Genomic DNA, 24,425 nt, shown 5'->3' with positions numbered 1-24,425 from the left:
AGCCTCCCTATCCCTCATTTCGGAGACCCCCTTGGGTCAGGAAGTGGTGGTCCAGGGGTTCATGGCCTAGGATTCTGCCCAAAGCGCGGTCGGGAGGGATGGGAGAATAACAGCCCGACCTCCCGGAGGGGCCCACAGACACTCACCGTCCATCCCTAGAGGCGGCGGTTCCGGGAGCTCGAACCGGAAGCGGCCTCTACACTGTTTGCAGTTCCCCTGGTTACTGCGGGGCCCCGGACCAATGACGGTGGAGCTCCACTTACTGAGCCCGCCCCCGGGGAGTGACGTCATGCCGGCGCGCTGGAACTCCTCCTCCGAACCCTGGGTCTGACCCACCTCCCCGGGCCCCGGATCGTTGTGCGCAGGCGCGATGGACCAAGGCCCTTGGCGGTGCGTTGCGCATGCGCCCCGGGCGCCGCCGACTGAAGTAGCAATGGACGCGCTGGAGTCGTTGTTGGACGAAGTCGCTCTGGAGGGGCTCGATGGCCTGTGTCTGCCAGCGCTGTGGAGCCGGCTGGAGACGCGAGTGCCGCCCTTCCCGCTGCCTTTGGAACCCTGCACGCAGGAGTTTCTCTGGCGGGCCCTCGCCACGCACCCGGGCATCAGCTTCTATGAGGAGCCTCGGGAGCGACCCGACCTACAGCTCCAGGACCGGTCAGCGGGCGGCCTGGCCTGGCGGGCGGGCGGGCGGGCGCAGGGCCCGGGGGCTGATGGAGCTGGGGGCAGGGCGGGGGAATGGAGTGGGGCTGTGCAAGTACCGGAGGCCTGTTGATTGAGTTGGGGCACGGCGGTAAGGCTAATCTGGGGTCCCTCAGGCCTGGCAGGGCCCTGGAGTCCGATGGAGTTGGCGGGGGGAGGGGGAGAATCTAGTGATGTCCCGTTTTGTCCCTGTGTGTGTTTTGGGGTAATGGCGAACAGGATTGGGGATATTCTTCAGGCTTAAAAGAATGTTTCCTTTACATTGGAGGATAGGATTAGAGCAGGAAAGACACTTTAGAGCCAGACTGGAGACTCCTGAGATCAACAGACCCTCATGGTATATTCATTCGGTGCAGATAGCCTAGGGCAACTCGAGATCTGCGTATCAGGACAATTAGCGATAATGCTAAAAGCTGACATTTATCAGGGACTTCATGGGTGAGGTGCTGTTCTTTTTTTTCTTTTTTGAGATAGAGTCTCTCTCTGTGGCCCAGGCTGGAGTGCAGTGGCGCGATCTTGGCTCACTGCAACCTCCGTCCGCCTCCCAGGTTCAAGCGATTCTCGTGCCTCAGCCTCCTGAGTAACTGGGATTACAGGCATGTTCCACCACGCCCGGCTAATTTTTGCATTTTTAGTAGGTATGGGGTGTCATCATGTTGGCCAGGCTGGTCGCGAACTCCTGACCTCAGACAATCCGCACCTCTCGGCCTCCCAAAGTGCTGTGATTACAGGCGTGAGCCACGGCGCCCGGCCACATTGCTGTTCTAAGAATCTATTCTAGAAGCTTTAGGAGCTTAAACTCACTTGATCCTCACTTGATTAAACTCCGTTAAACAGGAGATTAAATTCACTTGATCCTCACCTATGAGGTAGGTGCTGTTATCGTCCTCATTTTACAGAGGAAGACACTGAGTCACAGAGAGGGATTATGTAACCTAAGGTTCTGGGGGCAATAAGTGACTAAGAATTGATTTGAACCCAGGCTATTTTCAGCGTCTGTGCTCTTAAGCCATATTGTGAGGGTCAGGGGAGGTTCCAAGAGGTAATAATGTCCAAGACAGGCCGGGTGCAGCAGCTCATGCCTGCAATCCCAGTACTTTGGGAGGCTGAGGTGGATGGGTCACAAGGTCGGCAGTTCAAGACCCGCCTGACCAACGTGGTGAAACCCTATCTCTACTAAAAATACAAAAATTAGCCTGGCGTGGTGGCGCATGCCTGTATCCCAGCTACTCAGGAGGCTGAGGCAGGAGAATCACTTGAACCTGGGAGACAGAGGTTTCAGTGAGCTGAGATTCAGCCATTGCACTCCAGCCTGGGTGACAGAGTGAGACTCTGTCTCAAAAATAAAATAAAATAATGTTCGAGACAAAACTTAAAGGTTGGATTTAGGCAGCCAGTTGGCAAAGAGGACTGTTGGACAGAGAACAGCAAATGTGAAGTAAGTGGCTGAAGTGTGGAATTGGAGGTAGGGAATGAGGAATAGCTAGGACTGTGCTAAGATCCTTAATACAACATGTTATTTAATTTTTACAGAAACCTTAGGAGATGGGTAATATTCTCCCCATTTTCCTGAAGAGAAAATCGAGGCCCTGAGGGGTCAAGTGGCATGCTAAAAGTCAACTAGCAAGGGAAGAACCCAGACTTTGAGGAAGGTCTGAGTTCAGATTCCAGCCAAATTGGACTGGAATCAAGTCTTTTAACCTACTTAAAGAGTTTATCAGCCTGTAATCCCAGCACTTTGAGAGGCAGAGGTGGGCGGATAACTTGAGGTCAGGAGTTCAAGACCAGTCCAGCCAACATGGTGAAACCCCATGTCTACTAAAAATACAAAAATTAGCTGGGCGTGGTGGTAGACGCCTGAAATCCCAGCTAGGTGGAGGCTGCAGTGAGCCGAGATTGTGCCACTGCACTCCAGCCTGGGTGACAGAGGGAGAATCCATCTCAAAAAAAAAGCTTATCCTTTATCAAAAGGACAGTGAGAAGTCACTGAAGAGAGGGTCAGACTAGGGGCAAAGAGTGAAGTTGAGAGATTTTTAGTAATCTAGTCATGGTCTGGCTTACCATGGTGGGCGTGGGGATGAAGAGCACAGGCAGTCAAGACATAGTAGGCTGCTGTTTGGGCACCTGAGCGAACCCTGATTCTCATCTCTGAGGCTGGGAACACGGAAGAACAGCGTGGGGGTTGAGTCTGGGGGAGGTGGGGACTTTGCTGAAGAGACATGTGACACATTTAGCTTCAGGTTCTTTTGAGTTGTCCAAGTGAAGAGTCTTAATTAGTAAACATCTGGCTTCGTGGGAGTGAAAGCAGGCCAGAGGGAGGGACTGAGCTAGACATCTGTGAGTCATTCCTAGCAGCTGGTAATTAAAGCAGCTGGCTAAGATCAGCCCTAAGAGAGAGTGTAGTGTGGTTGGAGGTCTTGAGATATAGCTCTGCAGTGCACCTACATTTCAAGGCTGGATGGAGGGTGAGGGACTTTCAAAAGAAGACTGAGGCGGTGTGGCTGGAGAGGTAGAGGACAGTCAGGTCAGAGTGGTGTTCTGGAAGTTTGGGAGGAGACAGGATCATTTAAGAACGGAGGGTTGGGCTGGGTGTGGTGAATCATGCCTGTAATCCCAGCACTTTGGGAGGCCGAGGCAGGTGGATCATTTGGCCAACATCGTGAAACCCTCTCTCTACTAAAAATACAAAAATTAGCTGGGTGTGGTGGCAGGTGCCTGTGATCCCAGCTACTAGGGAGGCTGAGGCAGGAGAATCGCTTGAACCCAGAAGGTAGAGGTTGCAGTGAGCCGAGATTGCGCCACTGCACTCCAGCCTGGGTGACAAGATCAAAACTCAAGTCTTAAAAAAAAGGAATGGAGGGTTAAATGGTGCAGATAACACAGAGGGGGCAAGGAAGGAAAGGGCTGAAACATGTACATAGGATTTAGCCGCAATTAGACTAGTGTAGGATATGAGTGAGATTTCAAAATAAAACTCGACAAGCAGCCAGGCAAGGTGGCTCACACCTGTAATCCTAGCACTTTGCAAGGCTGAAGTGGGCAGATTACTTGAGCCCGGTAGTTCAAGACCAATCTGGGCAACATAGTGAGGGGAAAAAAAATTATATATATATATATGTATGTATTTTTTTTTTTTTTCAAAAAAAAAAAAACTTGACAAGCTTGGCTAACTGCATGAAAGAAGCACAAATGAAAAATGTCTCCATGGTGTTGTAAGAGGCACATGGAAGAAAGCGGTAGTAAGAGGGGAAAGAAGGGACTTAATTGGAGCTGGGGAGAGGTAATCATATTTGGAATGGGAGGCATTTAATAGACAAGTGAAGACATTGGATCTGTATTTGGAGAAAAAGGACTGAGGATTCAAAGGTGAGACTTGTTAACATGCAGGCGGTAATGCAAACCATGAAAATGGGTTAGGATATTAGAGAGATAACTAAGGAGAGATGGAAAGATGAGATCTTAAAGGGAGGAAAGCTTTGGCCACTTGTGGTGGCTCCCACCTGTAATCTCAGCACTTTGGGAAGCTGAGGCGGGTGGATCACCGAGGTCAGGAGTTCGAGACCACCCTGACCAACATGGTGAACCGTCATCTCTACTAAAAATACAAAATTAGCCGGGCGTGGTGGCACACCCCTATAATCCCAGCTCCTTGGGAGGCTCAGGCAGGAGAATTGCTTGAACCTGGGAAGTGGAGGTTGCAGTGAGCCAAGATCATGCCATTGGACTCTAGCCTGGGCAACAAGAGCAAAACTCCATCTCAAAAAAGCGGAGGAAAGCCTTGAATCATTTCGTCCAACTTGGTGGTTTGGAGACTGAGTACCAGATTTGGAGGGAAACAAAAGCCCATGACTTGGCCAATAAGGAGGTTTAGGTCCCAGCACCCAGCTTCTGGAATAGTCTGGGGAGTCCTGGAAAGGTCTGCGTTCTGTGGGATAGAAAGGCAGGAACCTGCTTGTCAAGATTATCTGCATTTATAAGGCAGGAAAACTGACTGATCTCACTTCTCTCTGATCTCTGCTGGAGGTTGTCAAAAGAACACAGCCAAGCACACATTATATCTGAAGCTGAGTTGGGCTTTGATATTTGTGTTTTTCTCCTTAGGTATGAAGAAATTGATTTGGAAACTGGAATTTTGGAGTCTAGGAGGGACCCGGTGGCTTTGGAGGATGTCTACCCCATTCATATGATCTTAGAGAATAAGGATGGCATCCAGGGCTCATGCCGCTACTTTAAGGAGAGGAAAAACATTACCAATGACATCAGAACCAAGTCCTTGCAGCCTCGCTGTACAATGGTGGAAGCCTTTGACAGGTAACTATTTTGCACCATCAGAAATTCCTGGGAATCTGGCCGGGTACGGTGGCTCACGCCTGTAATCCCAGCACTTTAAGAGGCCGAGGCAGGTGGATCACTTGAGGCCAGGAGTTCAAGACCAGCCTGGCCAACATGGCAAAACGCTGTTTCTACTAAAAATACAAAAATTAGCCGGGTGTGGTGGCACATGCCCATAATCCCAGCTACTGTAGTGGCTGAGGCATGAGAATCACTTGAACCCAGAAAGCAGAGGCAGGCTGCAGTGAGCCGAGGTCATGCCACTGCACTTCAGCCTAGGCAACAGAGTCAGACCCTGTCTACAAAAAAAAAAAAAAAGGAAAAAAGAAATTCCTGGGAATCTGAGTGCTTTGAATGTGTAGTCAGAGCACTTGGATCTGGCCCACAACCTTGGAGTCTGTCAGAGTTCACTAGCCCTGCACTACGCCAGTTCTTGGCCTTCATTCGCCTTCTTCACTGGGGTCACGGGTCCTGCCTTTCTCTTTCCTTTGTGCTCACAGTCCTTGAGCACTTGAATGGTGCCCTTTCTCTCTTCCTACCTGGGCCCTGTGCTGCCAAGCCATTCTCTTGTGAATCCTCAGTCAGTATCCCAATTCCCCAGAGTGTCTAATCCAAATGATCATTTTTTTTCAAGCACCTAACTCCATTCCTGCCTTCCTTCCTACTTTACAGGGCAATGTGAACTCTGCTAACTTCCACCTTCTTTCTTGACTTGCAGACTTTTCCACATTTCTTCCCTGTCTACTCTCATCTCGGAGGAGGTGAGAAATGGTGGCCCTGTCTAAGGCTGTGATCTGGATGCATCCCTTCCTCCTCCTCCCCTCCCCCAGCCCAGCTCCCTCTACCCCTGCTCTTTTCCACCTCTCAGTTAGCTCATCTTTCTCCTTGATTTTCTTTTTCTTTTTTTTGAGACAGAGTCTCACTCTGTTGCCCAGGCTGGAGTACAGTGGTGTGATCACAGCTTATTGCAGCCTTGACCTCCTGGGCTCAGGTGATCTTCCCACCTTCCACCTGAGTAGCTGGGACCACAGGCGCATACCACCACACCCAGCTAAGTTTTATTTTTTGTAGAGGTGGGGTCTTGCCATGTTGCTCAGGCTGGTCTCAAACTTCTGGGCTCAAGCAATCCTCCTATCCCAGCCTCCTAAATTGCTGGGATTACAAGTGTGAGCAACGGCCCCCTGTCTGTCCTTGATTTCTACTGAAGCTTTCCCTTCAGCACATGAACACAGTTCACCCATCTCGCAGCAGAACCTTCTCTTGACCTCAAATCCCTTGTAACTGGCTGTTTCTTTGACTCTGCACCCACGCTTCTTAGATGAATCACCCCCATTCACTGTTTCTCCCTCTTCACCTCCCCTTCACTCCTTTGCCCACTGCAATCCTGATTCCTGACTTTATCACTTCACAGTTTTATCCTCTAAGATCCCATGGGGCCATGAACACTGTTAGGACCCTAATCTCCTTGACCCTGCTACACTGTTAAGGACTCAAAGCTTTTGTGCCAGTGGCTTCCTGCCTTATTTTGTTTTTCTACTTTCCTTGCCATTCCTCACCAGCTTATTTGTGGATTCACCTACTTCCTTCCACCACTTAAATGTTGGCTGGTGGGCTAAGCAGTAATCCAAGCACTTTGGGAGGCCAAGGCAGGAGGATCACTTGAGGCTGGGAGTTAAAGACTAGCCTGGGCAATATAGCAAGACCCCATCACTACAAAAAATTAAAAAAACAAAAAACTAGCTGGGCATAGTGGCACACTCTGTAGTACCAGCTACTTGGGAGACTGCGATGGGGGGATTGCTTGAGCCCAGGAGTTTGAGGCTTCAGTGAGTTATGATTGCACCACCACATTCCGGTCTGGACAATAGAGCGTGACCCGATCTCTTTTTATTTATTTATTTATTTTTGAGACAGAGTCTTGCTTTGTTGCCTAGGCTGGAGTACAGTGGCACAGTCTCGGTTTACTGCAACCTCCGCCTCTCAGGTTCAAGCGATTCTCCTGCCTCAGCCTCCCGAGTAGCTGGGATTACAGGTGCATGCCACCACGCCCAGCTTATTTTTGTATTTTTAGTAGAGACTCGGTTTCACCATCTTGGCTAGGCCGGTCTTGAACACCTGACCTCAGGTGATCCACCCGCCTTGGCCTCCCAAAGTGCTGGGATTACAGGCGTGAGCCACCATGCCTGGTCAAGAAAGACACATTGACTGCTTCTAAAGGCTCTTTGTCTAGTCCCAGACCTCTCTCCCAAGCGGCATATGTGTTATTCCAATAATCTGCTGTGCATACCAGTGTGGTCATCACTCTCCTTCAACCCAAACCTGCCTTCTGTTCCTGTCTTAGTGTGTTGTGTGTTGCTAGAACAGAATACCTGAGGCTGGGTAATTTACAAAGAAAAGAGGCTTATTTAGTTCACAGTGCTGCAGGCTAGGATGCTCAAGGGCATGGCACTGGCTTCTGGCAAGACTTACGTGCTGCCTTATAGCATGGTGGAAGGTCCGAGGGACAGTGAACATGTGCAGAGGGGCAAAACCCGGAGGACATCCTTGCTTTACATCAACCCACTCTCACCGGAGCTAATCCATTCCCAAGAGAAGGAGACTCATTTTCTTCTCCAGGTGGCATTAATCTATTTATGAGGGATCCATCCCCCACTACCCAAACACCTTCTACTAGTCCTCACCTCCCAATGCTGCTGCACTGGGGATTAAACTTTTTTTTTTTTTTCTTTTTGAGGCGGGGTTTTGCTCTTGTCGCCCAGGCTGGAGTCCAATGGCGCAATCTTGGCTCACTGCAACCTCCACCTCCCAGGTTAAAGCGATTCTCCTGCCTTAGCCTCCCAAGTAGCTGGGTTTACAGGGACCTGCTACCATGCCCGGCTAATTTTTGTATTTTTAGTAGAGATGGGGTTTCACTGCGTTGACCAGACTGGTCTTGAACTCCTGACCTCAGGTGATCTGCCTACCTTGGCCTCCCAAACTGCTGGGATTACAGGCATGGGCCACTGCACCCGGCATACTGGTAGTTAAACTTCAACATGAGTTTTGGTGTGGACAAGCCTCATCCAAACCATAGTACTGCCTTTTCTCGTTCTTTATTCTGGTCAGATGTACTCTCATGCACGTGGCTGTACAAGCCATAAACGTGGGACTCTTCTAGGCCCCAGTGTGATGGGATGTACCCTGACCACACAAGGCAGAGGTTTCAAACTGACCAAATCTGCCCACAGAGGAGCTTTGTGTGCCCAGCATGGTATTCTGTTTGGTTTTTAATTTTATTTCATTGCTAATATTTAAAAACCTGGATTTCTAGCTTTTCTTGAAAAGTCACAAGATCTAGCTGCACTGAGACCAATTTTTTACAGGGTGATATAGGCCAGAGTTACCCTCAGCTGGCCATGTACCACCCGGTTCCACACACCGTGAGTTTGTGTTCGTGTTGTGTTCGTGTGTGCTCCCTGCCCTCCTGATTGGGTCCCGGCAGGCTATATGTGATTGTGCCTCTGCTCACCCAGTGCTCCGACCTCAGTTTCTTCACTCTGCACTGCACTTCAGCCTCAACATGCTGGGCTCCTTTTTGTCTCAAGGCAATCCTCGTGCTGTTCCTTCGCCAAGAATATTCTGTCCACAAATCTTCACGTCGCCACATCATTCAGACTTCAACCTGACTCCTCTGGAAGTGTCCTCCATTGCCCAGACACCATCGTAGTACTCTTTATGGCACCAAAAATGGTTTTAAGTGTTTGTTTATGTCACTGTTTCCTCACTAGATTATACGTTGCTCAAAGGCAGGGACTCTATCCTTCTTGTTCACCGCTATGTCTCTCAGTTCTATAATAATATGCCTGGCACAAAGCCGGCTTCTAGAAATACATGTTTGAAGTTGTAACCCCTGACCCATGTTATAGAATCTGAACTCCCCAGCACGGCATCAGAGGGCCACTGGGGATGTAGGCGCTGCTGGCCTCTCGAGCTTTCCTTCCTTCCTTCTGCTTCCTAGCTGGCTACCACACTCCAGACTTTGTAGCCGTGCTGCACCTCTTACCTCCAGGAGCAGGCATGCTTCTTCATGCCTCTGTAACCGTGCAGCTTCTGCATCCTTCCCCTTAATTCTCTCATTCACACAGCTCACTGCTAATACAAGCGTCACCTCTTTGCCTGGTGCAGTGGCTCACACCTGTAATCCCAGCATTTTGGGAGGCCGAGGGGGGTGGATCACTTGAGGCCAGGAGTTCAAGACCAGCCTGGCCAAGATGGCAAAACCCCATCTCTACTAAAAGTACAAAAATTAGCCTGGCATGGTGGCAAGTGTCTGTAATCCCAGCTACTTGGGAGGCTGAGGCAGGAGAATCACTTGAGCTCCAGAGGCAGAGGTTGCAGTGAGCTGAGATCGCGTCACTGTACTCCAGCCTGGGCAACAGGAAACTTTGTCTCAAAAAAAAAAGAAAAAAAGAGTCATCTCCTTGAGGGGTTTTCCCTAATCCCTGTGCACACACTCTTGTTTATACACACATATTTGAATTAGGGCTCCTCATCTATGACATTTTATGGCCTCAACAACTAGAGCCTCTTTCTGTGAGAGAAGTTATGACCTCATATTAGAATTATTCATTTTAAATTTTTTTCTCCAGTAGCCTGTGAGCTCCTTGAAGGTAGAAACTATTTTTATTTGTCTTGGTATCCTGGTGTACTTTGCATGGTACTTCATTGGCATTTGATAACCTATAAGATGACCATAGTCAGCAAATTAAAACTAGCCGGAGTTATTGAATCAGCTAATTCGCGATAATTAACAGAAACATTGGGATCATGTCAGTGAAGGATAGTAAACTAGTCAGAGTAATGACGTTTTAAAAGCAGCAAACCAGTGCCCTGTTTTCAAACTTTTTTCCCCCAGCTGACCTCTTATAATTTAACTTAATGAGCCTGTTTTGAGAACAAAAGAGCATAGGTCCTAAGTTTGTGAAATTCAGATATATAAAGTGGACTTTCTGTCGTGTATTCGCAACATAACATTCTTTTTGAAGACGCACTATATGGGCTTCTGTGACTTAAGCAAAATACTATTTTCAGGTGTCAAACAATGTGAAGAAAGATGGAGTTAAGTTAAAACAGCCTCTTTTTTTCTTTGTGCCTACTTAGTGGTAGAAATAAAGTCATCTGGTGTGGGGAAGAGGGAAGGAAAACTGTCAGACTGAGTTGAGTGGTGTGGCTGCAGCAGGACCTCGTGACTAGGCATCTGCAAATACTAGGGCTGAGAAGAGTGGATGTTGGCTCCCGGTGAACAGAATTGGTAGCCTGTGAGCTTTTGTATGTGGACCCTTGGTGACTCCTTCATCTGGGAAAGGGGGGTCCTCTACCTTGGGCCATTTCCTGCTGATACAACAGAATACCACAAACTGGGTAATTTATAAAGAACAGAAGTCTGTTTGGTTCATGGTTCAAGGGGCTGGGAAGTCCAAGAGCATGGCACCAGCATCTGGAAAGGACGTCCCACTCCTGAGATAACTAACCCACTCCCACGATAAAAGCCTTAATGTATTCAAGAGGGCAGAACAGAACTGTCATGGCCTAATCACCTCTTAAAGATTCTTCCTCTTAATACTGTTACGATGGAAATTAGGTTTCTAACACGTGAACTTTCAGGGGACACATTCAAACTTCAGTCTTCTCCAGTTGAGTAACTTGATGCCAAGGAACGAGTGAGGGATGGGTTCCCCGGCAGCACATCCTTATGGGATCTCCCAGCTGCAGGGCCAGGGCTTGGACTCTGAGAGTGGGTGAATGGAGCAGGTCAATTTGCTCAAGATGTCAGTTGGATTGAGCAGGCCAGGCATTGTGGTGGAGTCTCCATCATCAGCGATGGGGAATGCACAGTAAAGACTGTTAGGTGTCAGCACAGAAATGAGTCTTCTCACTTGGGCTGTCCTCACATGCCTTTTGCTAGGAAGTGGTTTTGGCCTCTTTTGGTGCATTCTTTCTCACATGTCAATTTAGAGGAAGGAACTAATGATTTGAAGGCAAGGTCTGGCCTTCAACAGTGAAGTCAAAATGAGACTGCAGGTCCACTGATTGCACCGTTCAGTGCTTTTGACTCTGAAGATTGTTTTATCAGTCCAGCTCACTGGGCTGGTTCATTTACTTAACAAATATACACAGAGCTCCTATTATCACCCAAATTCATTCTGCGCACTGAGGATGTCCTGGTGAACAGGTTGACAATGTGCCTGCTCTTATATTTGAATGAGGGAAACTGACAAGGATGTTGGCAAAAAAAAAAAAAAAAAAAAAGATGAGTGTGTGTGTGTGTGTGTGTGTGTGTGTATATGTGTGTATATATAGTCATTTCTAAGAGTGCTAAGTTCTATGAAGAATATGGAAATGGTGGGGGTGGGGCTAGAACTCTAGTTGGCATTTTCTGAAAGGCCTGAGGAGTTGACAACTGAGCTGCGACCTGAATGATGAGAATAAATCAGTCACCTAAAGACCTGGATGAAAAGCAGCCAGGCCGAGGAAACAGCAAGGGCAGCACCCCTGAGGCTTGTCTTAGGAACAGGAAGCCTCCTGTGGGTGAGGGGCAGAGCTGTGGAGGATGAGATAAGCAAGGCAGGGAGGGATGGGCCGTGGAGAGCTTTCCAGGAGGAGTGGGATGAGGAGTTGGATTTGGCCTGAGCGCCTTGGCGAGCCCTGAAGGGCTATCAGCAAGGAAATAAGATTGGCTCTGTTCCTTCAGCACACTACACTACTTTTATTATTATTATTATTGTCTTTTTTAGCACACTACACTTCTAAGACTGAAACTTGCTTAACTTAATTTTGGGATCTTGTAAACTCCTAGCAGAAGCAGGAAATGAGGATTCTGCACATTTCTTTTTCTTATCTCAGTTTTCCTAAAATCAGTTAAACTTATTTCTTCATGCGATTGTTTCCGATTTGCAGGTGGGGGAAGAAACTGATCATCGTTGCCTCCCAGGCCATGCGGTACAGGGCCTTGATAGGCCAGGAGGGGGATCCCGACCTGAAGCTGCCCGACTTCTCCTACTGCATCCTGGAACGGCTAGGCCGGTCCAGGTGGCAAGGGGAGCTCCAGCGAGACCTTCACACCACTGCTTTCAAGTAAGTGGGGGGATTTGCTTCTCTGCTTTAAATTATATGTCATTGCACCCTGAATCCCAAATGCAGGGGCCTGCTGTGGTATCTTCCCTGAGGCATGGCTTTTTGTTTCAAGGCCGTGGTCTCACAGTGACTGTTTTCTTAGGTTGGCTGGACAGGAGGTTTGTGTCTCTGGTGTTTATGTCCAAGTGAGAGACTCTATACATTGATAAAACTACCAGCAAAGCAAATGACATGGCTCCTCTTTTCCTCCAGGGTTGATGCTGGGAAGCTGCACTATCACAGAAAAATTTTGAACAAAAACGGGCTGATTACAATGCAGTCCCATGTGATCCGATTACCCACTGGAGCCCAGCAACACTCAATCCTCCTCCTACTGAACCGGTTTCATGTGGACAGGTATGGTTTGTAGTGACCAAAACATTAGGTTTTTTAGTTGCAGCCATGTGTAGTATGCTTTAAAAATTGTAGGGGCAGCTGGGTACAGTGGCTCATACCTGTAATCATAGCCCTTTGGGAGGCTGAGGTGGGAGAACTGCTTGAGGCCAAGAGTTCCAGACCAGCCTGGGCAATATACCAAGATGGCATCTTTATAAAAATAAAAAATTAGCTGGGCGTGGTGGTGCACACCTGTAGTCCCAACTACTCAGGAGGCTGAGGTAGGAGGATCGCTTGAGCCCAGGAATTTGAGGCTGCAGTGAGCCATGACTGCACTGCTATACTCCAGCCTGGGTGACAGAGTGAGACCCTGTCTCTTAAAAAAATAATAATAGAAGCCAAATTAGAATATGACTATAGCTTTTTTAAAAAATGGCATTTGTTATCTGTTTTTTTGTGAAAATAAGTCCTGCTTGTTTAGAAAACTAGGAAACTATACAGAAAAGAAGGAAAAATAAATCTGTAGCTTCACAGCTAACAATAGGAACCATTAACATTTTGGTGACATTTTGGGGAGATGTAAAAATACAAGTAAGTCAGATTTGATTTCTTGTGGTGGCAGAATTGTAGTTGAATTATGTCAGTTTCAAATTGGATGTTTTGCAGCACTCAACCATAATAACCTATATGGACAAGATGGCGAGGTTCTGCTAAGCGATAACAATGTGTGATATTGCTATTTTAGCAGGATATTGTTGTCCAGGTGATACAGCAAACTGGTAAAATGTGCACATTCTCTTCTGAGGACCAGGGAGACTGGGGGAGTGAGTAGGTTCTCTGACTTCTTCATCCTTGCCATTGGGGTGACCTAATTACCTGGCATCGGAATGAGGGACAGAAAAGTTTCACCACTCTGCAGAGGTCTCAGCCCTCACTGCACAACCTCATGCCCTTTTTTGTGGGAGGGGCAGAAGCCAGAATGGGAAAAGGTCAAGCTGGTGCAGGGCCTGGGAAGAGCAGCCCTTAGCTGAGGAAGCCCTGAGCCCTCAGTACCTGGCCAGCAGCTCTCTGGGGTGGAGGTAGGCAGCAATGAGGGATAATGGGGAGGGGAGGTGCATCCTCCAAAAGTGGGGGGAATGATTACATAGAAATGTTAAAGTTTACAGTGCACATGGGTTGGGCCAAAGAAAGTGCTTGACACATGTGCGTAGACTCTTTATTGACTGCGGATCTCCAGGGGTGAAAATCATCATTGCTGCACCTCTGTCAAATGTCCGCCTCCCAGATTTAAGCCATTCTTCTGCCTCAGCCTCCCGAGTAGCTGGGACTACAGGCACCTGCCACCATACCCGGCTAATTTTCGTATTTTTAGTAGAGTTTAGTAGGGTTTTGCCATGTTGGCCAGGCTGGTCTCGAACTCCTGACCTCAAGTGATCCACCCGCCTTGGCCTCCCAAAGTGCTGGGATTACAGGCGTCAGCCACCGTGCCCAGCTACACATAACTTTTGACTCCCCAAAAACTTAACTACTAATAGCCTACTGTTGATCAGAAGCCTTACCAATAATATAAAGTTAGTTAACACATATTTTGTTCCATGTGTTATAGCCTGTTCTTGTATTATTGCAATAAAGTAAACTAGAGAAAAGAAAATGTTATTAAGAAAATACGTTTACAACACTGTACTGTATTTATTGATACCATAAGTTTACATTGTCTGTTAACAAGATAAATTGAAATGGCGGGCAGTCGCAGCTGCAGACCTCACTCTACAGTACATGTCAAGCAATTTAACTTTTTCTTGAAATGTCATGACTTTTCTCTGCTTCTTGGGAGCGTTTCCAGCATCACTAGTGGCACTTTGTGTGGGTCCCATGGTGTTAGTCAAGGTTTATGGTATTGCACTAAACACGAGGAAAAATACGTGAGAACTGCAAGAGATCACCTTTTTTTTTTTTGAGACGGAGTTTCGCTCTTGTTGCCCAGGCTGGAGTGCGATGGCGCGATCTCCGCTCACCACAACCTCTGCCTCCAGGGCTCAAGCGATGCACCACCGCGCCCAGCTAATTTTGTGTTTTGAGGAGAGACAGGGTTTCTCCATGTTGGTCAAGCTGTTATTGAACTCCCGACCTCAGAAGAGATCACTTTTTACTGCAGCAAGTAATTTACTGGAGAGGAACTACTCACACAGAGATGAGATGAGCATCACATGGCTTTTTTTTTTTTTTTTTTATTTGACAGTCTCATTTGGTTGCCTAGGCTGGAGCGCAGTGGCACGATCTCGGCTCACTGCAACCTTTGCCTCCTAGGTTCAAGCAATTCTACTGCCTCAGCCTCCCAAGTAGCTGGTACTATAAGCATGTGCCACCACACCTGGCTAATTTTTTTGTATTTTTAGTAGAGATGGGGTTTCACCATGTTGGTCAGGCTGGTCTCGAACTCCTGACCTCAGGTGATACGCCCACCTCGGCCTCCCAAAGTGCTGGGATTACAAGCGTGAGCCATCACATCCGGCCCATCATATGGCATTTTTAAGCCAATGCTCACAACACTTAAGCTTGCCACAATAGCAACAGGAGGTGGCTACGAAGTTATTAACAGTAGTACACTGTGTATTACAGTTAATTTTATGCAGATTTGATTTCATCCTGCATCTTCATGTTTGTTTACATTTCCTCCACTGCAAATGGCACCGTGTATGGTCTGTAAGTGGTTGCATAAGTTTTGATTAACTTTTTATAATAGATTTGTGTATATTTTATGGTAATGAATGATAAAATAAAGTAGTATCCACCTATATTTTATGCATCAATGACATACCTTTTTCTTAATTTTTTTAATATTTCTAATGTTATACAGTTTGTCTATGAGTTTTCTCAAACTGTCACAAATCTCCAACAATTCTAATATATTTTTATATATTTTCTAATATATTTTTTCAATAAATATGAAAAAAAAAATCTGTGTATAAGTGGACCCGGCCAGTTCAAACCCATGTTGTCCAAGAGCCAACTGTACAGTATTAGAGAGAAGCATCTTTTATGAATTCACATTTTAATTGGGTCATACTATCCATTGGTTAAGTAACTGTCTCACCAAACTCTTCACTTGTGTATAGCTTGTGCTCAGCCCAAGAACACAGGGTGGCAGCTGTGGGGTAGGAGAGAGAACACTGCATTAAGTCAAGATCTGTATTTCCATCTTTGCCCCTCACTTGGGCAGTCACTTGACCTCTTTGAACCACCGTTGCCTCTTGTATTAAATGGCTGTGACACAGTGCCTTCTATGCAGAGTGGCTCATATGCATTAACTGTCTGTCCCTCCATTTATTCTTTCATTCATTGAGAAGCAGTACAGATGGGGAAGTGGGTGTAGTCTCTGGATCCCATACGTGTGCTCTCCCTTCTGCTAGGACTGTAAGTCAAGCCAAGCTGTGCTTGTCCAGCCGAACTGGCCACAAGATTTCTCCCTGCACCCCTCCCTGAGCTCCCACTAGACTTACACAGTCAAGGGCCCTCAATGTTTTTAAATAGCTTCCTTTGCTGGCCGTTAGCTTGGAAGCATTGATCATGACATCCGCTTCACGGTAGAAATGAGATGGAAGGTAGGCTCTGCCACGCCAGTGTAGTCAGGAGCAGGAACCGGAGCTTCAGAGTGGCGTCCCAGTGAGTGAGGAGAGGACTGGTTTTAGAGGAAGAAGACCTAGGTTTGTGTCTCCAGCCTGAACTTCGTAAAGTGTGTTAACTTTGTAGAATAACCCCCATCCTTCCTCACCAAGTGATCTGTTTTTTGTTTTTCTTTGAGATGGAGTCTCGCTCTGTCACCCAAGCTGGAATGCAGTGGTGCAATCTCGGCTCACTGCAACCTCCACCTCCCAGATTCAAGCAATTCTCCTGCCTCAGCCTCCCAAGTAGCTGGGATTACAGGCGCCCGCCACCACGTCTGGCTAATTTTTGTATTTGTAGTAGAGATAGGTTTTCACCATGTTGGCCAGGCTGGCCTCGAACTCCTGACCTCCAGTGATCTGCCTGCCTCGGCCTCCCAAAGTGCTGGGATTTTGCCCGGCCCCTCACCAAGTGATTTGTAAGAAGATATGTGTGATACTTCCTAAACTTAAAAGTATTGTAAAAATGAAAGGTGTTTTACAGAATCATGTCATGCAAGTTTTAGTGCTAGAGTCTAGTCTATACATTGCCTCTAGAAAGGTGGCCTTGGACGTGACAGAACCTCTCACAGCCACAGTCTCTCCACCTGTAGAAGGTAGGAGTTGGGCTGGATGATCTTTGAGACCTAAAAGATTCTGTTATTTATTGTAAAATGATTAAGTCAAGTCTTGCTTTGTCATCTTTAAGAAACAGGCAGTAAATATTGACTTCAGCAACAGGTTTGAAAAAACGAATTGCTCGGTGTTTCTTGCAGGAGGAGCAAATACGACATCCTCATGGAGAAGCTTTCGGTCATGCTGAGCACACGGACTAACCACATAGAGACGCTGGGAAAGCTGAGGGAAGAGCTGGTGAGCCTGGGGTTTCCCACGGGCGGGGCTGGGTGTGATCTGTACCATAGCCGGGAGGTCTTGTCAGGCATAGAGGAATGAATTGCAACCCAAAGCCCTATTCTGGATTTGATGCAAATGAGATTTTCCTTTGTTTGCTGTTTTTTTCTTTTCTTTTTTGAGACAGAGTCTTGCTCTGTTGCCCTGGCTGGGGTGCGGTGGTGCGACAGTGGCTCACTTCGGCCTTCGCCTCCCAGGTTCAAGCGATTCTCCTGCCTCAGCCTCCCGAGTAGCTGGGATTACAGGTGCCCGCCACCACGCCCTGCTAATTTTCATATCTTTGTTAGAGACAGATTTCACCATGTTGGCCAAGCTGGTCTTGAACCCCTGACCTCAAGTATCCTTCTGTCTCAGCTTCCCAAAGTGCTGGGATTACAGGGGTGAGCCACTGTGCCCAGCTGTTTTTTTAGAATAAGAGTGCTTTGTCCTTCATTTAAATTCTTGCCTTTGCCTGACTTCCATTTCTCCCCTGGAGTTCGTTCTAGGACCTATTATCAAAGTTCAGACGGAATAGGAAAATGCGGCATTTAGGTTTACTTCTGTAATCAAGCTTATGATCTTGTTCCCAGTGGTTTTGTACTGAAATAGCAGAGCGGCTGTCCTGAGGGGGAGGGGAGAGGACGCAGGGAGGAAGGCAGCTGTTGACCTGCTTCGTCTTTGGGCCCCAGAGCAGAGGCTGTGGCGAAGGGAGCGCGAGAGGGAGAAAGGCGGAGGGGAGCTGCTTCCAATCTGACTGGAAGGTTTCAGTGCAAGTCAGGAAAGAGCCAACGTTAGAGATGGGAGGAAAACAACATGGCCCTGTAGGTGAAACCAGAACTTAAAACTGAACATTTGAAGTCAAGCTCTTTGGTGACTAGTAGTTAGTCCCCTAATGAGTGGTCTTCTGTCTGACCGCAGGCACCAGGACAGTCCTTGTTCTTTCCCCACGTTGCATCGATGGAGTTCTCTGATTTCATTGTTCACAGGGGGAGGAGGTGTCTTCCACATTGCTAGATTCACTGCCTGCCTAAGCCTCTTTAAAGCAGTGGTTACAGTCTGGAGGCTTGTGGCCCAGACTTGGTCTGTTAAAAATAAATTTGACCTAGCATTTTTTAAGAAATTGAGACTTTCCATAAAAATCTAGGTTTCCAGTCTGTCTCCAGAAATGAGAAGCCTGGGCCTGCCGTCTCTCCTGACATCAGTTAGCTGGAACTAGTTGTGCACTAGCTGGGTCCCCCGCAGTCCACCTGCTTCCTGTCACCTCTCCGACATGAGGCAGGGAGGCAGGGCCATTTGTCACTCCATGAGCACTGCTGTTTGTAGTAGGGGAGAAGTGTTTTGCTTCTCTGTGTCTCAGTTTATCAGAGTAGAAAATCAAAGATAGATGGAGAAGGCCTCTCAGGAAACCCTGGCAGAAACGAAGGAATTTCCTACCGGCTTAATAAACAAATACCTGGCCACCGTGTGGATTAATGTTACTTGTCCAGCCCATGCAGACTCTGGAGATTGAAACCCTCTCTCCTACCAAGTCACTCGGGGGCAGGGAGACAGGGCTAGTCTGGTTTCAGGTCAGCCCTGTGGACTGTGTTAGCAGCAAGCCTTGACTGTTACTGGACAGCCTTTCACTTATTCATTGAACAGATACTTCAGGGAGTGTGTATGTTGAGTTAGAACTGTGTTCCACAATAAGATGGTGAAAGTTAGCCAGGATGACAGGTCTCACACTGTCGTGGAGCTGTCTAATCAGAAGGGCAGGCGTGTGAACACATACCTGGAAGGATGTAGCTGAGCCAGTAGAGGGAAAGGGGTGCTTTCTTTAGAGAACTGGGGAAAGCCTCAAAGAGCTGTGCCAAAAGCACAGTTGAGCTGGGCTTTTCCCCACATAGACAGAGGGGAAGTGGCATTTGAGGGAAAGGAGAAGAGCTGGTGCAAAGGCATGAGTTGTGGAAGGCCATGCAACATGCTTAGAAGTGGGCAGTAATCCAGAGGGCAGCTGGCACATTGTGTGGCTGGATAGGAAGGTAGGGGCCCAATCAGAAAGGACTGGAGTGCTGGCTGAGGAGTGGGGACTTTAGCCTTGAAACTTTAGCCTTATGCACTGCTGCTGGCCGTGTAGAAATGAAGAAGTTATTAGCCAGGGGTGGTGGTATGCACCAGTCCAGCTACTCGGGAGACTGAGACCAGAGAATCGCTTGAGCCTGGGAGGTGGAGGTTGCAGTCTAGGCATATGAGCTGGTGGAGGGAAGGGGATGGGAAGAAGGTGGCGAGGTTGTGGTCATGAGGGCTGGAATTGTTTGAGAAACATTTTGGAGGTGAAACTAACAGGACGTGGTGAGTGCCTGCACTGGGATGTAGAGGTGACTGAAGAAGGAGGATCTCGAGATGAAGCCAGTGAGTTTCGCTGGAGTGGCTGCTGCTCACTGAGGCAGCGCAAAGGCAGGCTTCTGACGCAGGGATCATGTCTGCTTGCTCACTGCGGGCCCCCACGATGAAGACAGTGCCTGGCCCCCTGTAGAGGCTCAGTAAATATTTGCTGAATGGGAGTTGAATAAATAGGTCAGAAAGAGGAGCAGATTTGGGTGAGGAGGAGGCACAGGACAAATCTCAGTTTCAGACATATTGGGTATGAAGATCTTCCATGACTATCCCCTGGTGATGTCTAGTCAACAGCTGGAAATTGGGGTCACAGAGAGCTGAGCAGGATTCAGTGAATAAATTAGCCTATAGATGAAGCTGAGGCCATGAATATGGATGCTGCCTTTTGGGGGGATTTGGTACGAAGACTCACTGCCTCTTTCTCTTTCTGCTGGCCAGATTGTGCACGTCGTTGATGGCAGCCCCTCAGAAGGCAAGACTACATCATCCTTCCCCTCTTAGGATGGTCCAGGGCTTAGTGCCATATGTCAAGGGCTGGGATCTGATGGATGAGTTTCCATGGGGTCTTTTTATGATGCTGGGGGCACGGCTAGATTAACGATAAATGCCATGTACAAGCCAGTGGCTTTGAATGAGCCATATGTGAGTCATCTGTATTGTTTTGATAGCCATATGTTCTGCCACCCAAGGGCTGGAGTGCTGGTTAGCCTGGGAGGTAACCACACATATGTGGCGGCGGCAGCCCACAGACATTTGCTCCCTGTCTCTCCCCCCAGAATGTAAGAGGAAAGCTGTAAGATTCAGTGAACAGCTCTCAGTCACGAGTGCCTCCTGCCATTCGCTCCCTTGCTGGGAGCCATGGTAACCTGCCAGGGGCTGCAAAATCACATGGCAGCAGTGCCCAGGAGGGTGATACCCACAAGCAAAATGGGCCATGTATAAAATAAATTTTTGATACAGGATAGGTTTAAGAAATTAACTTTCCTCTTAACTACCATTAGAGAAAACCAGCACAAAAATGGTGATAAATGGCAACTGACGTTCAGTTTCATTGTTGGAGGGTCTGATTGGGGAGCGCAAAGGCTGTGGCCCCCTGGAACCGGGTGGGCCCTGCTGAAGAGCAGCTGATCAAGGCTTCTGTTCACTGTTGCTGTGAGGAGCTGCAGTCCTAGCCTTTGAAGAGAAGCCAGAATCTAGGTCTTTTTTAATGTGAAATCACTCACTTTTCAATTTTGGCAAGTAAATTACTTTCTTGAAGAAAAACATTGTATCAATTTTAAAAGCACCGCCTGCACTGGAGGCTGCTGTTGGTCACCCCTGCAGGGGAGATGTTCCTAGGATCATTTTGGTTTTCAGCCTTGCAAAAATAGGAGTGATGAGATGGAAATACCCATTATCATTCTGTTGTAACTTCAGAGACCACATTTAAATTTTCACAATTTTTTTTTTTTTTTTTGAAACAGAGTCTCACTCTGTCACCCAGGCTGGAGTGCAGTGGTGCAATCTCGGCCCATTACAACCTCTGCCTCCCAGTTCAAGCAGTTCTCACCCTCAACCTCCTGAGTAGCTAGGATTACAGGCATATGCCACCGCACCCAGCTAATGTTTGTATTTTTAGTAGTGACGGGGTTTCGCCATGTTGGCCAGGCTGGTCCAAACTCCTGGCCTTAAGTGACCTGCCCGCCTCGGCCTCCCAAAGTGCTGGGATTACAGGTGTCAGCCACTGCACCCAGCCTGTAAAATTTTTTAACCTATTTTTTCCCCTTTTTTTTCTCTCCTGCCCATGGGGGACAGGGGTGTGTATCTGTGTGTGTGTGTTTGTATTAGTAATACACTTACATGGTTAAAAAATCAAAACAACATGAAAAGGTATCAGATGAAGTCTTCAGTCTCCACTCCTCCACTCCTGCCTGCCTCATTCTCACCCCTGCACACCCTTCCAGGATCTGGCGAAGCGAATCTCTTTCCCCCTCTAATCAAAAGGTAGAATCGTTTATATCCTGCTCTGGACCTTGTTTTGGTCCCTTGACAAGGTAGCTTGGCAGGCTTTCCTCATTAGTACCTCAAGATAATCAATTAATTCAGGTCCTGAACTTGTGTTCATTTATATGACTTTCTAGTCATTTCAGACATCTTGCTGTGTCTAATAGTAGCCTTTAAATTGTGTTTTGGCAGGGGCTGTGCGAAAGGACGTTTAAGCGTCTGTACCAGTATATGCTGAACGCCGGGCTAGCCAAGGTGGTGTCTCTTCGCTTGCAAGAGATCCACCCTGAATGTGGACCTTGTAAGACAAAGAAAGGTAATGCAGAGTCTCAGCTTCTGTTCCCTTGGCTGGCTGGCTCTCACTTCTGTCTTCTAAGCTTCAGCCTCTCTCTCTCTGATCACATTCTGCCTTGTGGCATAATGATTTCACATATTTATTTAACTCTGCGCCTCAGTGCCTGGCTCAGGACTGTCCATATAAAAAGTGCCTAGAAAATGTTTGCTGAACAAACTTCCAGCAAACATCTCTGTGGTGTCCTCCAAAATCATAGTTTTATCAGGTGCCCAAATAAACAAGTTCATCTTTTCCTCCTTATATTAAGCCACTCTAGTCTCCTTCTTTTTCTTTTTTTTCTTTGCTTTTTTGAGGCAGTCTCGCTTTTGTCGCCCATAGTGCAGTGGTGCGATCTCTGCTCACTACAACCTCTGCCTTTCGGGTTCAAGCAATTCTCCTGCCTCAACCTCCTGAGTAGCTGAAACTGCAGGTGCCCGCCACCATGCCTGGCTAATTTTTTGTATTTTTAGTAGAGACAGCGTTTCGCCATGCTGGCCAGGCTGGTCTTGAACTCCTGACCTCAGGTGATCCACTCACCTTGGCCTCCCAAAGTCCTGGGATTATAAGCGTGAGCCACCACACTCAGCCTCTTTTTTTTTTTTTTTTGAGACAGGGTCTTTCTCTGTTGCCCAGGCTGGTGTGCAGTGGCATCATCTCAGCTCACTGAAATCTCCACTTCCTGGGCTCAAACGATCCTCCCGCCTCAGCCTCACCACACCCGACTAATTTTTGTATTTTTTTGTAGCGAGAAAGTCTCGCTATGTTGCCCAGTCTGGTCTCAAACTCCTGGACTCAAGTGATCCACCCGCCTCAGCCCTGCAAAGTGCTGGGATTACAGGCGTGGGCTACCACTGCCAGCCACTTATCATTCTTTAGCCTGCCTTTGTGAAGTGCCTACTCTGTATTGCATGATCTCGTTATCTAGCCCTGTAAGGTTGGTGGCATTGTCACCATTTTATATGTAAGAAAATTAAAGTGAAGAGATGCTGAGTAACTTACAGAAGGTTAAACAATCAGTACTCAGCAGAGGTAGGATCTGAGCCTTCTAAGAAAGTTAACTTAAGGAGCATACTATGAAACTTTAAAAACCTTCCTTAGTCTGGGCACGGTGGCTCACGCCTGTAATCCCTGCACTTTGGGAGGCTCAGGTGGGCAGATCACTTGAGGTCTGGAGTTGGAGACCAGCCTGGCTAACATGGTGAAACCCCATTTCTACTAAAAGTGCAAAAAATTAGCCAGGTGTGGTGGCACACGCCTGTAATCCCAGCTACTCAGGAGGCTGAGGCAGGAGAATCGCTTGAACCTGGGAGGCAGAGGTTGCAGTGAGCTGAGATCACGCCATTGCATTCCAGCCTCTGTTATATTTTTTTCCTAGACAGGGTCTCGCTCTATTTCCCAGGCTGGAGTGCAGTGGCACAACCATGGCTCACCACAGCCTTGATCTCCCAGGCTCAAGCTAATCCTCTTGCCTCAGCCTCATGAGTAGCTGAGGCTACAGGCAAACCCTACCATGCTGGGCTAATTTCTTTTTATTTTCAGTAGAGACGAAGTCTTGCTATCATGCCCAGGCTGGTCTTGAACTCCTGGGCTCAAGTGATCTCCTGCCTTGGCCTCCCAAAGTGCTGGGATTATAGGCGTGAGCCACCAAGTCCAGTTATTTTTATCTATTCTTGATTTTTGTCCCATCCTTTTTACTCCTCCTGATTAACCAGAATCATTTTAAAAGCTGCAGGTCAGAGTTCTCAGTAAAAGGTGATAGTTGGAATATATGCATTTATATGCACTCCACCCAAACTTCACCATAGTGATGAAAAGGGATATAAGAGGAGTAAACCCTCAACTACAAAGAATACAGGACAGGAAATGACAAAAGGGAGAGCTGGTGATGACATTTGGGTGCTCAAAGGTAGATGGGCAAATGGCGACTGACTGACCAGACTGGGAAAGCTAAGTGCCTGTGAAGGGCGATAGCCAAAAACTGACACCTCAGAACTTGAAATCAACTAAAACTTGGGGATACTGGGTGCCTTTGAAAGCGTAAGTATGGATAGGGCTAGAAACAAGAGAATTGGTTAATGGTCTGTGTGAGAAGTTGCAATCCTGTAAGAGGCCCTTCCCCGCAGAGACAGAAGTCTGGCATTGTCTCTACAGAGCATGCTGGAGGGTTTCTAGGCTCAGAGATAGGAGACCAAGCTGGAGACTGGGCACTGTGCCAAAAATGAGGGCTCTGTGACAGTCTTGCTAGGTGAGAGTTTCCCAGCTGCTGCTCCCAGCTTGGCCGTCTCTTGTTTTAGTCTGTCGTTTGATGTGCATCCTCCAGTAGCTTCCCAAAGGGGAACGTGGGCTCCTAGAACCATTTGGCTCTTCCAACACTGACAGCCAGACTTACGGTTTCCTAGGCCAGAGGCTGGAGACTTCTTTTTCTGAAGAAACTGACCAGTCCATGAGAAAAATCCTCCAGATACTGAAATTTGGGGGTTTTCCCAACAAAATAGCCCCTGCAAGCTCCCTGTTCATGGAAGCCCACCTGATGGTAACTTCTCCCTTCCTCCTCTCCACTTCCAAAACACAGGGCTTTGGGCAGCATTTTAATGCCTCCCTGAATATTTCAGGAAAACTCATAAGAAACAAACATAGGATACTGAAATAAAGTAGGGAGCAGAAGAAACTGAAAAATAAAG

The 24,425-nt window shown here is 47.6% G+C and overlaps 2 protein-coding genes across 20 annotated transcripts in view, besides 6 other annotated features; one reads left to right on the top strand and one right to left on the bottom strand.

Annotated features, from left to right (window-relative positions):
- Positions 1–180, bottom strand: part of KATNIP (katanin interacting protein) — a 230,201-nt gene extending 230,021 nt beyond the window's left edge. For all 16 annotated transcript variants that reach the window (XM_005255201.4, XM_005255202.4, XM_011545775.3 and 13 more), the window contains exon 1: positions 147–180. In XM_005255201.4, the coding sequence (XP_005255258.1) occupies positions 147–153 (7 nt within the window). In that variant the 5' untranslated portion in view covers positions 154–180. The remainder of the gene's footprint in view (positions 1–146) is intronic.
- Positions 315–424: an enhancer, noted in NCBI's record as "active region_10634". NCBI's record gives its function as "activates an Ori minimal core promoter by ATAC-STARR-seq in GM12878 lymphoblastoid cells {active_cell/tissue: GM12878}" and the evidence as "EXISTENCE:reporter gene assay evidence [ECO:0000049][PMID:35858748]".
- The window catches only part of GTF3C1 (general transcription factor IIIC subunit 1), an 89,301-nt gene continuing 65,286 nt past the window's right edge, over positions 411–24,425 (top strand). For all 4 annotated transcript variants that reach the window (XM_047434036.1, XM_017023188.3, NM_001286242.2 and 1 more), the window contains exons 1-6: positions 411–654; positions 4,801–5,010; positions 11,968–12,144; positions 12,397–12,540; positions 16,937–17,033; positions 21,603–21,726. In XM_047434036.1, coding sequence (XP_047289992.1) covers positions 434–654; positions 4,801–5,010; positions 11,968–12,144; positions 12,397–12,540; positions 16,937–17,033; positions 21,603–21,726 — 973 coding nt within the window. In that variant the 5' untranslated portion in view covers positions 411–433. The remainder of the gene's footprint in view (positions 655–4,800; positions 5,011–11,967; positions 12,145–12,396; positions 12,541–16,936; positions 17,034–21,602; positions 21,727–24,425) is intronic.
- Positions 435–514: an enhancer, noted in NCBI's record as "active region_10633". NCBI's record gives its function as "activates an Ori minimal core promoter by ATAC-STARR-seq in GM12878 lymphoblastoid cells {active_cell/tissue: GM12878}" and the evidence as "EXISTENCE:reporter gene assay evidence [ECO:0000049][PMID:35858748]".
- Positions 11,422–11,716: an enhancer, noted in NCBI's record as "tiled region #15498; K562 Activating DNase unmatched - State 14:Gen5'". NCBI's record gives its function as "activates a minimal TATA promoter and a strong SV40 promoter by Sharpr-MPRA in K562 cells {active_cell/tissue: K562}" and the evidence as "EXISTENCE:reporter gene assay evidence [ECO:0000049][PMID:27701403]".
- Positions 11,422–11,756: a biological region, named in NCBI's record as "Sharpr-MPRA regulatory regions 5680 and 15498".
- Positions 11,462–11,756: an enhancer, noted in NCBI's record as "tiled region #5680; K562 Activating DNase matched - State 14:Gen5'". NCBI's record gives its function as "activates a minimal TATA promoter and a strong SV40 promoter by Sharpr-MPRA in K562 cells {active_cell/tissue: K562}" and the evidence as "EXISTENCE:reporter gene assay evidence [ECO:0000049][PMID:27701403]".
- Positions 23,767–23,967: a silencer, noted in NCBI's record as "peak2546 fragment used in MPRA reporter construct". NCBI's record gives its function as "represses an SCP1 promoter by STARR-seq MPRAs in K562 erythroleukemia cells {active_cell/tissue: K562}" and the evidence as "EXISTENCE:reporter gene assay evidence [ECO:0000049][PMID:32103011]".

The sequence above is a fragment of the Homo sapiens genome, chromosome 16 (genome assembly GCF_000001405.40).
Source record: "Homo sapiens chromosome 16, GRCh38.p14 Primary Assembly".
Lineage (NCBI taxonomy): Eukaryota > Metazoa > Chordata > Mammalia > Primates > Hominidae > Homo > Homo sapiens.
The sequence above is the reverse complement of the archived record's forward strand: the minus strand, read 5'-3'. Positions and strand labels throughout refer to the sequence as shown.